Here is a 14,414-nt window from a genome sequence, read left to right on the forward strand (position 1 = left end):
ATATCTTTGTTCTGATAACGCTAACCCTTGTGAGGTGGTGGATTTCATGAGACAAAAGCTAAGCAAGGGTGTGGGTGACAGCAGTGAAAAGAAAGTAATGATTCCTAGCTAGAAAGTACAAGGCTTTTGTATATGAAAGAGAGAGAGATGTGTTAAATATGTCAGTGGCTTAGGTCAATGATAGAACAATTCCATTACACACTTGGTATAGAAACAAAAAAGTGATTCAAGGGACCATTTCAATGACTTACTAATCAATAGAGAGGTGATTCTATAAAAGCCAAATGTGAAGCAGTATTTTAGAGGGTTTTTTTTTTTTTTGGTGGCAGAATTTATTTAATAGCTTTGTGCAGGACCATCACTGTATTTTCAGAATTGCTTACATTTTAAAGGATTGCTTAAAATTTTTAATTTTTCTTTCCTCAAATTTATGGAGGAGGTGGTTGCTTTAGTGATATTTACAAGTATGGTCATTAGTTAAGGGTTAGAATAAGTGCCCAAATAAATATCATCATGTGTCGACAATTTTTAAAGAAAGCATTCTTGCTAGATTTTTTTTAACTTTTGTTTTTATTTGTCTTTAGAGACAAGGTCTCACTATGTTGCCTCCACTGGTCTAGATCTCCTGGCCTCAAGCAATCCTCCAGCTTTGGCCTCCCAAAGAGCTAGGATTACAGGCATGAGCCACCATGCCCCACCCGTTCTTACCAGATTTAAAAAATCTCTATTTTAATTGCATGAATATTATTCAGAGTAGATCAAAAATGTTAAGAAGAGAAATAAGAATTTCCAACAAAAAGGTGGGAAGAATTTGTAAAGTAATCATAGTTGACACCTCTGGAAGAGCTGCAAAAGGGTTTTGACCAGTGTTGGTTTGTTTGCTTAGTTAGTCTTCTGGTTGAACAGTTGAAATCATAACCTTGGTGAGCAAAAATTGATTTCTGCCCTAAAGACACTGTAGAACCACAAGGGAAGAAAGAAATTGTACAGTCTTTTTTTTTTAAGCTGAGTTTTCAAATAATCTGGACTCTTATTTTATTCCCTGCTTTGTTGTGGTGCTGCTGCAGCTAGAAGCAGAATCAAATGAAAATGTTTAAAGGGCTACCTTTTTTAAATATAAATTATAAACTATTTTTCTTGGAGACCCAGTCTTAGAGACCCAGTAGTGAAAACATTAATATTTAGGACAAAATAGACTTAAATAATGGTGCTGAAAGGTCATTTGAGATAAGACAACAGCTGCTTTTGCTTCATTTTTGTTTCTAGTTGCTTCCAGGTATAATTCTCTCTCTTTTTTTTTTTTTTTTTTTTTTTTTTTAGATGGAGTTTCACTCTTTGTTGCCCAGGCTGGAGTGCAGTGGCACCCACCGCTATGCCTGGTTCTAATTCTAAAACCTAAATGTCATTCCCCAAACTTTGATCCAAATAATAGAACTCAGCAGCAGTTAATCCCTACCAATTAATTACAATCCAATTAGGTGTATTAAGTGTATGTGTTTTGGAAGATGATCTATCTGTTAAGTGTATTCCGTTTTGGTAGCTGATCAGGGAAACAAGCCTTCTAATCACAATAAAAAATGGCAAAGTTACTGATTTATTAATTTACTTGTTTATATAGAAAGAGCAATATAGAAACAAAGAAAATACAAGAAAAAAGACAAAGAGGTCTTTGTTTGGTCTGGTCACTACTGACTATATCTGCAGTCCTTACATGTAATAAAGTTTTCACCCATCTGGGCTCATAAACTTGTACTAACAAATTGAAATTTTTTAAATAGAAAGAAATATATACTTTTTCTTAGGAACTAAATAATAGATGTATGTCATTATTTTGTTATTATTCCAAACAATAAAAATATTCAGAGAAAATAGTGTTCACTTACAACTTGAAGCAAAGAGAGATACCCAAATCCTACATTATCAAAGTTTACTTTCACATTTTTCCATCGAGCAGTCTCATTTCTTTCTATTAGTTTTAGGCAATCAGTATGATTATTCACGTCTTCGATGTCAAACCTGTCACCAGTTGTGGTGTTAATACAGTGGTAGAATTTGCCAGCAAACAAATTTACGCCCATGATGCTGAAAATTAGCCAGAATATAAGACAAACCAGAAGCACATTCATGATGGATGGAATTGCTCCTAAAAGGGCATTCACAACCACCTAATACACAAATGGAAAAAAAGAAAAGTCAGAATTCTTATCTGTTAATAAAGAAAAAAAATTCCCCTAGTAATCTCTGGTCTTTCCATTCTTTTTTTCTATCAATGCTATTTATTCTAGGATATGTAAAAGCAAGGTTCAAAAAAATCTTAAAATTCATTTTTTTTTCTTAAGCAATACACTTAGGAAAACAACTATAGGCAATATAACCAAGAAATGAAACAAAAATGTTTTTAAAAAAAAGGGAGGGAGAAGCATTAAAAGGTTAAAGGAAAAGGAAAATCAGAGGAACTTGCTGCCAGATGAAGTCAGAATTGTGTTATCAGAATAAAGAAAAGTTAAAAAGCCTATACAGAAGTTTAACTCATTTTAAAAAGGCAATATATTAAAGAACAAAACTAAAACATTTGGACCTGAGTTGATTTGACCAATATATTTTTAAAATAACTTAAAAATTCAGATGATAAATATAAAAAATATTATTAAATACCTAATATAATTGTCTTTAATTATTCATGCATTGCTATGACTAATAATTTTTGCATAAGAAGCAAGACAATTTGCATTATGTATTTCATTAGATCATCACATCGTTTATTTCAAGCTCCAGTCATGTCAGTTGTTTCATTTACTGAGTTTAATTCAAAAAACTTATTTCAAATGAAACATAATAGAAATCATTTCTTAGGAAAATAAGAAAAAGAGGGATGCCATACATAGTTCTCAAATCTGATGTGATCACATGAAGTTCTGTGTTCAATTATTATCTACTTTTTTTTTTTTCTATAGAAGGATGTTTTCCCCCTCTTTACTTCTGGACCACTAGTTAAAAATCTTGAGTGTTCATGTTTGGAAACAACATAGGGATGGCTTCCTTGCTTTTTCCTCCATACCTCCCACTGGAGCTGCACAGGAGTGGCTAAGAGGGAAGCTAAAAACAGACCCTAAAATGCTTATAAGGGGCAGCTGCCTCAAACTTGGACATTAATAGCTAAGTTTAATTCCACCTATGTGCTTGTATTATTCTTGTCAGTCTGATCCAATGGAAGTAGTCGTCAAAACATCTTCTATTTGCCATTTGATGCCAGTGTATTTTTAGAACAATTTTTTTTAACTGCCTGTCTGAAAAAAAAATACATGAGCCAATTTCTTATACTTCTGATCCCTGTTTAAAGCCTGTAAAGAACTCTAGGCCTTCTGGGGAACATAAAACAGTGTGATAAGTGGGCCAAAGAAAATAAGAATACCAGTAATGACAAAGGTGGAGGGGATGAGTATGAAAAATTAATTTGGTTGAGTTATCCAGGCAGAACCAAATGATGTGGCCGATGCAACTACCAAGCTGACACGTGACACTTTGCCTTATCTCATCTGACTGTCTGCATTAATACAATGGACTTCATAAATTCTCGTTATATAATTTATTTTAAATGGATGAATAGAATTAGATTTCTTTCAGATTAGAGATTTGGAAATTGAAATCAAGTTACTATTTCCCTTCTTTTCTGAATATTTTGTCCACTATCCAGATTACAATGCTGTTTCTAGTGTGTATACACAGAGTACTAATTAAAATACGTATTTTGCCTTCAACACCCAATTTAGAGTATGAGCAGAACACTGATTATCTATACCTATTTCTCGATTTTCTTTTCACATTACCTGTCTCACATTTTTTCTTTGAAACGTTTCTCAGCTTTGCCACCTCTTTTCCATTCTCACAGTCACCACCTAGAACTGCCCTCTGTTATTTCATACTTGCACTGTCATCTGTCTCCTAACCTTCTCCTTCATTTAATCTATGTAAGATGAATTAATCTTCCCCAAGTCCCACTTGAAAGTTATTTATTGGCTCTCTGGTAACTAACAAATATTTTTCTTACCTTGGTATTCACATCACTCCACAATCTATATTTCCAGTTTTAACTTCCCTGGTCATCTATACTTCATGCCACTTCAATTAATATAATAACCGTGTGCTAATATAATTGCCAGGTGATTGAGATGCCATTTACATTGAAATTCCTTGTCTAATAGCTCCTCTTCTGAAATACTCTCCCCTCTTAAAGGCTTTAGTTCAAATAGCACTTCTTTCATGGAGCCTAACTTTGTCCCCCAGTTTAGCCTCCAAAATAAAGAGGAATGTTTTCCCCTTTGAATTCAAGAATCAGAATTCTAGTACTGAACAGAACTGTACAGATAATTCAGTATTGCGTTCTCATTTGGCATATGAGAAAAATGAGGTTAAAACAAGTTAAGTTCAGAAAGTAGCCTATAAATAGCATTTAGTGCTGTTTCCAGTCTACGTGGAAGAGTTGCTCCCACTTATCTGGTACCCATATTACTCTGTACTAGAGTTCAGTGTAATCCTGACAGATTGTAAGATTTTCTAAAAATTTAAGATGCAAACATATGTTCGTGAATCTTCCAGGGCCTTGAGTGTCTTGAATATAAGAACATACCAGAGAGCTTTGAATATAGGAATAAAATAATGGTTGACAAAAATGAATGGGTTAATGAAGCAAAGTTTAGATTAGTATTTATTGATCAAAGCATAATTTTTAAATGTTATTTCTGAATATGGGATGAGAATAATTAAGGAACTGAGCACAGGGAGAAGTTTGTGCTTAGGTAATATGTTTGAGAGGTTTACTTTGAAACTGGGGATTGATTTAGAGTTAAAGCGAACTCTATGGAATTTATGACGCAAGCATGTACTCTGCAGCAGTGCACTTCAGGATATGATTTGCAAAGTTGGCATACATTTGGCCCAGAGAAAAGTTTTATTTTTTTTGTGAACATAAAATAACTTTATCTTAGAAAACATCTGGCACAGTATTGGGGAGTTTATTATACAAAGCTATAGTCATATTTATGATGTATTAAATTAGACAATGAAAGATCATAGAAAAGATTGTCTTTTCCCAAGAGTTCCAAGCCATTCCTTGGTTCAGCAAAGAAGGAGGTGTATTAACTTTTTTCAGTCTCAATAAAGCTGCAGTAATTGGTTCTTATGGGGGGAAGAAAGTAGGCAGAATTAGTCTGAATAAATTGGAAAGAACAAATTTCAAATTGAACTTTCAGGCTACATGAAAGGAAATGTCTGAGAAAGGAGCTATCTTAATGAATTAATACTGTACTAGAGGTTGTTTCTTCTCAGAAGCTTTTTTTTCAAAACAATCATCAAATAAAGTTTCTCTACTCTAGCACAACCAATTCTATTTCTGGTTCATTACCTGCATTTTTAAAAATAAGTCTACACTAAATGAAGGATTGATAATTAAATATGCAAATTCACATTAGAAATTTTCATACATGCAGAAATGTCTTTTTATCTGAATTAATTACTTTGAACTTCAAATCAACACTATTCATGAATTCTAGTGCTTCTCTAATAGAAATAAAGAAAATCTATGTGAATAAAAATAAAAGTGGGCAAAGTAGGAATCATCCATTTTTAAGTATAAAGAAGAATAATAGAATCTTTCTTAAAAATCTAAAAAAATTATGTTGTGGGTTTTAATTAAGACAGTTTTTTTGTAAGCTATGATATATTGGTGATCCAAACAAAAATTCTGACTTTTTCTGTCTCTCGAATATAAACTCTTCTTCTTGTATAATACACTTAAACTTTAAGAATAAATAAAATGTAGAGTTATGTTTATGTATGTTTTCACTGTGTTATGTTTTAAAATCCTAGAAAGTTAGTTGGGAGTTACTTATTCTAAGAAGTGAGTTTATGCCTTAAATTTTATCTTAATACTCATGATAAGACGTTTTTGTTTTATTTCTAGGTATGTATTCTATTCTGCATAATTCAAATAAGTGGATTTTTTTATTCTAACTTTTTGTTTACAACACAATTCACATGTGCTTATTCAACTATTTCTTAATATATTTTTGCCTTGTTAACATTTTGAAAATAACCCCATATGAACTTACACAATAAAAAATGAGAGTGGTCACAATCAATACCAGTCTTATGAAACCTGAAATATTGCACCCTAGTATCTGCTCATACATATCAATAATCAACTGATGGTATCTAACTGGTAATTTTCAGGACCCAGACCAATGTACTAAACAGCAGGGGCTGTATGCCTCAAACAGTATCATGAGCTTAACAAGTTAAATTGTTTTTTCACATAATCATTCTACACCAGGGTCCCCCGCCCTCACCAATCCAGTAATCTCCCCAAAGATGGATAACTCCATATACACATAACTAAATCATATTCAATGAAACTTAATAAAGATATCAACCATTGGGGTTAAAATCCACAGAGGGTAAATTCATAAAGGTTTTTTTTTTTTTCAAATGAAATTTAAGACAATTGAAAAGAGGGGATTAGGATGTAAATAATGTATTTTCCCTACTGTGGTGCAATAATAGTACCCTTCCCAATCCCTCCCTCACCCCACTACACATAAGTCACAGTGCAAGGATTAAAGGTAGCAAAAGGGGTAATACAGTACCCATAATAAAGGGCTCAGGGGAGGAACCAGCGCTCCACCCCATCCAAGTTGGAGCAAGATTATCCTATACAAAATAGAAATATATAGTTTGTTATTAGTTAGAAATCTGATATGACAGAACATTTGGTGTTACTTTTTGTTCATGATGCTCTCCGTCTGTTTCCCTATCCATTAAGACTTGAGTTCTTTTGAAAAAGAAGGTATTTAAGATTTCCTAGGTTAGGAAATTAAAAATACAAATTTAAACACAAATTTTATTTTACCCTAGATATTCACGACATCAATTCACTCAGTTTAATTTTACAAGTTGAAAAATTTGGACTGGAAATTTGAAATACAATAAATGTTTAAAAGCTGTCAGCCAGAAATGTGCATAAAACATGCAAAACACAAAGTGCAACGTGATGATAATTTATTTGTTACTTTCTAACTTCTTATCAAGCACTGTACAACATGCTTTATTCAGTAATGTTGCATAAAAGCACATGCTTTGAAAAAATAACAGAACAACAAAAATAAAATGAGTGCCTGAGTTACGCTTTGACGCAGCTATTGTGATTTTATGCTGCTAGGGCAAAGAATTAAATGAGAGTTTCTGAGCATGTTCAAATCTCACTTCCCAATCATAATCATCATTCTTATATCCAACCTCACCATCATTCATGATTATATTTTTACAAAATAAAATATCCAAACACTAGAAGTATAAAAAATAGAATCAATTATAACGTTATTTTGACTCTACAATGCCAAACACGTATTGAAGAGATTAGTCATTTTAGTGCTGTGTGTATGTTGTCATTATGAGGAATAGAGCCATATTCATAAATCTGACCATTTAAACTATTAGTTATATCACTATCAGCATTTATAAGGATTTTATGTCTAAAACTCCAAGTTTCAAAAACTAACCTCTTTTAATATAAAAGGCATTATTGATTAATAATTATAGATATGGTTATTTCTGAGAAAATTAAAAGTATACCGATAAGATCAGCTTTTTTATAGAAATGAAGTGTAATGTATGGAAATATCTGAGCACTTGACCAATGAATTTAATAAACTTTCAAATGGTCAAATGTAAAAGGTTTATAATATTTTCAAATGTTTAGCATTGTTCAGATTTCACAAGCCATATAAAATATATTATTTTGATTCAGGCAACATGTTTTCAAGTAGAATGTACACAAATGACATTTTTTTTCTCCAGAACTGAAACTGCCAGTCTGAAACAAAACAAAGTGACATTTAATTGGAAAACAGACTTAATTCTTATACACCCCAGAGATAATTTCTGTTAACATTTTGGTGAAAATTTGAGGCTCTCTGTGAGAAATAAAAGAGGACTACTTGTATTATATTGTTCTGAGTTGTCGATAATGAGGACAAAGTTTTCATATATGTTAGGGAAATCGAAGACAAGTCCTACGTTCTTACAAAGTGACATTTATAATAAGACTTGAGAAGAGAACATAAGGCTATAAACAATCTACAAAGTGCAAATGGAAGTCTACAATACAGCTTAGTTTCCATAAAAGTAACTACACCTTAGGAGGTGAAAGAGCAGTGTTTTTCTATTGGAATCACACAATTCAGTGTTTTGTTTTGATAATATTTTTTTTTAAAAAAAAGCAGAACTAATTTTTTATATTATATATCTATAAACTAATGCTTCATGCCGTAAAAAAAGGCATGGAAAATAAGTCAATAATGGCAAAATTTCTAATCTGTTATGCATGATGGAAAATGATTATTGCATCTTTGAAAAGGATAAAATAACATTTTGTGTGACTCTGACCAATAAGATGCAAGTTAAGGTTAATGTATAAATTACCTATAGTAATGAGTCAAAATTATATTTTCTGTTCATTATAAGTGTTTTACTTTATTGTTATAAAAATGATGTGGATTTGTATGTAATCTTTAAGTTAGTATTACTAGTTTTATAAATTCAGTCAACACTTAATATCTAACCATCTAATCTTGAATATATTCAAATAATGCAAACTTTGGCATTATACAGACAAAAGTTTTAACAACTCCTTTCATTTTTTTCTTAACACTCATACTTAGGCACATGTGTGATTCACATTATTTTCAGGAAAACTCGTTAAGTACAGTATATCATCACAAAGAATAAGTACCTGATATAGAATTTACTTTAGATTACCATTATATCATTACACATAGTACTTTAATAATGCATCAGCTTTTTTTTGTATATAGATTTGTAAGGAAACTCCCAAGATGGATTAGGAAATAAAGTCATTTAAATAAGCACAGCAGATAAATGATATTATATCATTTCAAGAGAGGCCTATTTCTCTTGCATATCACCTAGAAGTAAATATGCAACAGATAAAACAATAAAGTAGCAATTTTGCAAGAATTTGCCATTCCTTTTGCATGCATAGATTTTCCTTTTTCTAAATTTAATTTAGTTTAATTTTGGCTATATACAATACTTCAGGTTCTTTCATTTTTCTTACCCTCATCCCTTCAAATCGAGATAAGGCTCTTAGAGGTCTCAGAGCTCTTAGTGTCCTGAGAGATTTGATGGCTCCAAGTTCTGAGTAACCCAAGGCATTTGCTGTTAAACTGACCAATGAAACCTGCACACACAAAAATAATAACAATTAATAAACAGAATCATCATTCAATGTGTAGTTGCTATATAATACAACAAGTATAATTTTTGCTTATAATTATTCAGAGGATAAATGTTCAGACATTTTCAGTAAACCTTTAAAAAATTAAAGAAATAATTTCAGTTTGATGTAAAGGATGTAATTTTTAGGACATTAATTAAAAGCTAGTTGAAAAAAAATCCTTAAATGTCATATAATTTATCAACTGAATAAATAGAAAAAAAAAGCAAAGTAAAAATTAGTAAAATAAAAGAAGAAATCAAGGTGGAAAAAAATTCATTGGCTATTCTTCCTTTATTTTATTAAGTTGCTGTTGAATTTAAGGCTTTTCTTGTAGCTAGTTATAAAATACAAAAACTGCTGTTGTACTAAAAAAAGCAGGAAGTTTCTACTGTGCATCAGTATATTCAACTAATCATAATTGGTATTCTCAGAAATTAATGAACTACATCAGTTTTGAAGGTGATATTTTGTCTTGGTAATACCTTGCATTTTCACTTGTTTATTTTTACATAAGTAACTTAGAAAGAAATTCCATTACAAAACTTCCTCAAAATTTTTTATACTAATTTATGGCTTCTGCCATGATATCTGGCCCCAAAGGGCCAATCAATGAATATTTACCAAATACACACAGCAATAAATTTACTTCATTTGTATTCATTTGTAGGTAATATACATGACTAAAGGAAAAATCTTACGTATCTAATTCTCTAAATAAGGAATTTACTAAAACTTTGTATTCAAGGAAGATTATAACTTATTTGGTTAGAAAGATGCTAGTATTGGAGAATTCCGCATATACTGCACACTATTTTTGTAAACTTTTCTTTTTTAAAATGTATTAATTGTATCATATTTAATATACTTCTTACATTATTTGAGATGTGCTGTAATTAGTCCTTTTATAGAGTGCTATACTGATCTTCATTAAAGAATTAAAACAGAACATTGAAAATAAAGATATTATTGTTACAAACTACAAAATTTTCTATAAAATTATTTTCTTAAAATGTTTCAAAAATGACACTAAAAAACTTTCATGAAAAAGCTGATGTGTAATAAACATAATAGAAAAAAAACCTCAGGAAGTTTTAAAGGGTTAAATTACATTTAGATTTAAATTATAGTGTAAACAATTCTGAAATTGAAACATAATGTAACTTCTAATGCTTGAAACCTCAATATTACAAACTTTCTCCCTTATTGATGTGATAAAGCAATTCTTCCTTTGAGATTTCTCTCAATTGGCTCATTTCACAGTAACATTGTTAAGTTTTTTAAATAGCTTAGTTTTGCCTTTGTTCAGGGTCAAGGAAATATAATGCATTCATGATTCTTAGCTCAAGAAACACTTTCCACAAGAAACCCTCATAGTCTTGCTGGGTTAGTATCTTTTTGGGGTAAAACTACTCAATATGAAATCAGGATAGTTTTGCTGTAGCTTTCTAAAGCTGAAATTTTGCCAAGTTGATAATAGAAAACATGATGCTTAACTTTAACACATCTTGAAGTCAGTCACTTGTTTTCAGTAAATGCAGTATTAATCATTGGGGATACAAATTCTATAAAGGGCTGTTTGGGCTTGCCGTAAATCTAGTTTACATTCTAGGAAAACTTTCACTGCTGAATAAAGTAGACTTCTCTTTCCCTACACTCTACATACCTTACTTCCTATAATGAAGTCATAATCCATATAATCTACTATTTAAATCTACTCTTTAAAAAGTTTGAGTAGATCAAATAGAATTTTTTTAAATGACTGTAGCACCCAACAGCATCACTGTTTTTATTGAGTGCCTTTAATACTGTACAAGTTGGGGGTCAAGAGTTTGGGGCCAAGAAACTAACTCAGTGGCACAAAATCAACAAGTGATGGTCCTGGGATACAAACTTGAGTCTGTCTGACTCACAACATAAAGGATTTAAGCAACATACCTTTTAAGTTCCCTGTTTCACTACTTTCCCTACAAACTGCTGATGTGTTGTTTTTTCTTTAGCTTTCTCAGATAACTAGAGAACTACCATAGATTCCATCCCCCAATGTTATTTTAAATCAGAATTAAATTAGCCCTTGTCTTCCAGAAATGACACTCTCATTGCATATATGCGTTTAGTGGTTATTATAGTCTGTCAACATAACATAGTGGTCTGAGACTCACTATTGTAGAATTTGAATATAAATAAGACAAGCTACCTTGAACAGAGACAAAAATATGAACGATACCTACATCAACAATTAAGAAGTCCAGCCAACACCAGGCATTGGTGAAATATGTTTGATAGCCATATGCCACCCATTTTAGAAGCATTTCCAGAATGAAAATGTAAGTGAAAACCTTGTCAGCATATTCCAACATCGTCTTAATCGTCTTTCGCTGATCAATATATATATCTTCAAATGCCTATAAAGAAAATGTTACACATTATTAGCTTTCAAAAATAATTATACTCCATAAGCTATTTAAAAAATTAATCATATGCATATGACATTTCATTGGAATAGGAGGGCAGAGAAACAGTAGTTACTGTTACTTTTTTTTTTTCCTCGCAAAGGTCTTTTACTTATTTAATCAGGGGAAAGACTATTGGTGGAAGAAAAAGAAAAGTATGATTCCAATGAATTAATTTGACTTAGTCAGGAAATAGTTCTTGATGTTGTATCCTGATGTGGCCATCCCAACTTGAAGTTATGTATTCCTTTTGTTTCATTTATTTTGCTTCCTTCTATTGGCTTTTTTTTTTTTTTTTTTTTTTTGCTATAGAAAGGAGGTTGAAGAAATAATGAAAGCTTGTGCTTTTGTAAAGCAGAAATTGTGATTGATCTTCGCAGTCTCCAATTTGACTAAATAGTTGGGTTCATCTGCTTCTTTTTTGTTGTTGTTTGTTATTTTTTTAATAATTTATGTTTCTCAACAGACATACAGTGTGACAATGATTAAATGAAATTACTTTTCATTTAGATTCTAATATATATTCTTCTATTATGAACCTCTCGATGTTTCACTTCTAAGTATGCATTCCTTTCAACGGTGAAAGACTTCTAAAGTAGCGTGTAGAAAATATTTCTTTCTTCAGAAAAATTACAGGTAAATATATGTCTGTGTTAGAATTATAAAAAGTTAAACTTGTAACACACTTGCATTTCAATCAGGCAAACTCTGTTTCTCTCTCTTTCTTTCTCTTTTTCTATCTATGGTATTTCCTTTGTGTTAGTGTTTCCCTAAAATGCTATCTGTATGTTTTATTTATAGTTTTATAAATAATTTTCCTATAAAAATAAATTGATTCTGATGAAGTGAACACCTTGTTATAAAGATAAACCCATCCTTAAATGAATCTCTTGGGCATGCTGCCCAATATTTATTGTTACCAACTTTCATTATTTCTTAAGTAGCACAAAAATAGTGAGCACACAATTGGAAAAAGACAGAGAAGTGGTCCCTAAGGACTTACTACTGTCCATCAAGAGATAATAATAATAAATACCATTTAGAAACAAAATTCGTCAGAACTCAGAGAATATATATTCCCATCCCAGGGCTTCCAATAACTTTTTTTAATTAAACAATGAGTAATTGAATATTCACATCCTTTGGTGTTAATGAATAAGCTGAAGGGCTACACTTTCTGGGCTATTTAATAGTAAGCAAAAATTAATGATTAGCTTCTTAAAATTATATTTACATACATAGTAAAAGTTAATCCAGAAATATAGAGTTATAGAGTAAATCTATAGAAGATACAAGGTGGGATAATTAAAAATGCATTGGATACTAAGACAATGAAACAAAGGATTAATAAGTCATCAGTATTAGAGTGTTCTAAAAATTAGTGCTGTATCACCTTTTCTTAATCTCACTCACCAGAGCACCACTACTAAGGAGAATCATGAAAACAATGAAGGTCTCAAACCAGTTATGTTCAACTATTCGGAAACACGTCCTTCTCAGGTTCCACCATTGTTTTCCTCTGCCTTCTTCCACATTGATTTGACAACACTTGAATCTTTGTACACAGCCTGCAGAAAGTGTTGAAATAAAAGTAGATAAAGTGTCTCTGCTTCCATAATATCCTTTAGCAATGTCCTTGTCTTGTCTTTTTATTACTATGCTCATCTCTGTCTTGCTAGCATAGCTCTCTAAGCCTAGAGTAGTAAGAGCACATTCATCAGCTGTGTGAAGTTGTGGAAACATTCAGCCACTTTAAATGATGCCCTAGCGGACAGTATTTGCTTTGTCTGCCTCACAGTGTTATTGTCCAAGAGAAACTTTGTAAATTACAAATAAATGTGAGGTAGCTTTTCCTTGTACCATATCATCCTGTTGCACTCTGTTGAAGTCACTCCAGAAAAGAACTTTAAATTGGACATTAATAATGTTAAGCAGAAAACTTCCCTTTTATAAAGGATATAGAGTAAAAATGTAGATCTCTTCCAACAATGCTGCATTTGTTACCATTTAGGATTTTTTGTGATGTGCCTAGAAGGGCTTATGTAATTTGCATAATTAATTTAGTTCACTAAAAGCTAATTTGTATGATTTGGCTTTGACTTTTCATTGCCTTCCTCACACATTGCTTTCACTTAGTCTAAATGCAATCAACAGGTACTTCTGAGTACCATTGTAAGCACAAAGGCACTTAGGTACACACACAAAAAGGCACCGAACATGTACCTTACTCCCAAGAACCTTACCAAAAAAAATCTGGTTTTCAAAAAAAAAAAAAAGAAAAAGATATAAATACAGGATCCCTGCTCCAAGGCAAAAAAAAAAAAAAGGAGGAAAAGATATGTTTGAAGAAAAAGGAGAAAGGGAATGAATGGAGAAAAGGAGGAAGAAAAGAAGGGAAGGAGGAAAGAAGGAACTAAGGAGTGAAGGAATGGAGGAAAAGAAGAGAAAAAAGATAGAAAAGTAACATGTAACTGTTCAAAAAGAGAAAGAGTTTTCATAGGATAATGTATATTATCGGGTAAATTAAATGGAAATACTTCTTACAGCCATTCAGAGGAACAAGCTGCTGTTCCACCATGGTCAGATGAGGGCAGTTTTGAAAAGGACATTAAGTGATATGCATGATTTGTATAGGGAATAGAAGAAGACTGAAGGTATACTAGGCCTATGAA

At 31.6% G+C, this 14,414-nt stretch overlaps 1 protein-coding gene and 1 long non-coding RNA gene across 19 annotated transcripts in view; one reads left to right on the forward strand and one right to left on the reverse strand.

Annotated features, from left to right (window-relative positions):
- Positions 1-14,414, forward strand: part of LOC102724058 (uncharacterized) — a 78,983-nt gene that overhangs the window by 43,171 nt on the left and 21,398 nt on the right. The window lies entirely within an intron of this gene.
- Positions 1-14,414, reverse strand: part of SCN1A (sodium voltage-gated channel alpha subunit 1) — a 164,521-nt gene that overhangs the window by 15,948 nt on the left and 134,159 nt on the right. For 16 of the 18 annotated variants that reach the window (NM_001353949.2, NM_001353958.2, NM_001353950.2 and 13 more), the window contains 4 exons: positions 13,156-13,310; positions 11,521-11,694; positions 9,131-9,253; positions 1,884-2,165 (listed from right to left, as the gene is read on the reverse strand). In NM_001353949.2, coding sequence (NP_001340878.1) covers positions 1,884-2,165; positions 9,131-9,253; positions 11,521-11,694; positions 13,156-13,310 — 734 coding nt within the window. Of the gene's footprint in view, positions 1-1,883; positions 2,166-6,641; positions 6,706-9,130; positions 9,254-11,520; positions 11,695-13,155; positions 13,311-14,414 lie in introns of those variants that run through there. The other 2 variants (NR_148667.2, XM_047445393.1) reach the window with 2 other exon arrangements.

This window comes from Homo sapiens, chromosome 2, assembly GCF_000001405.40.
Source record: "Homo sapiens chromosome 2, GRCh38.p14 Primary Assembly".
Taxonomy (NCBI): domain Eukaryota; kingdom Metazoa; phylum Chordata; class Mammalia; order Primates; family Hominidae; genus Homo; species Homo sapiens.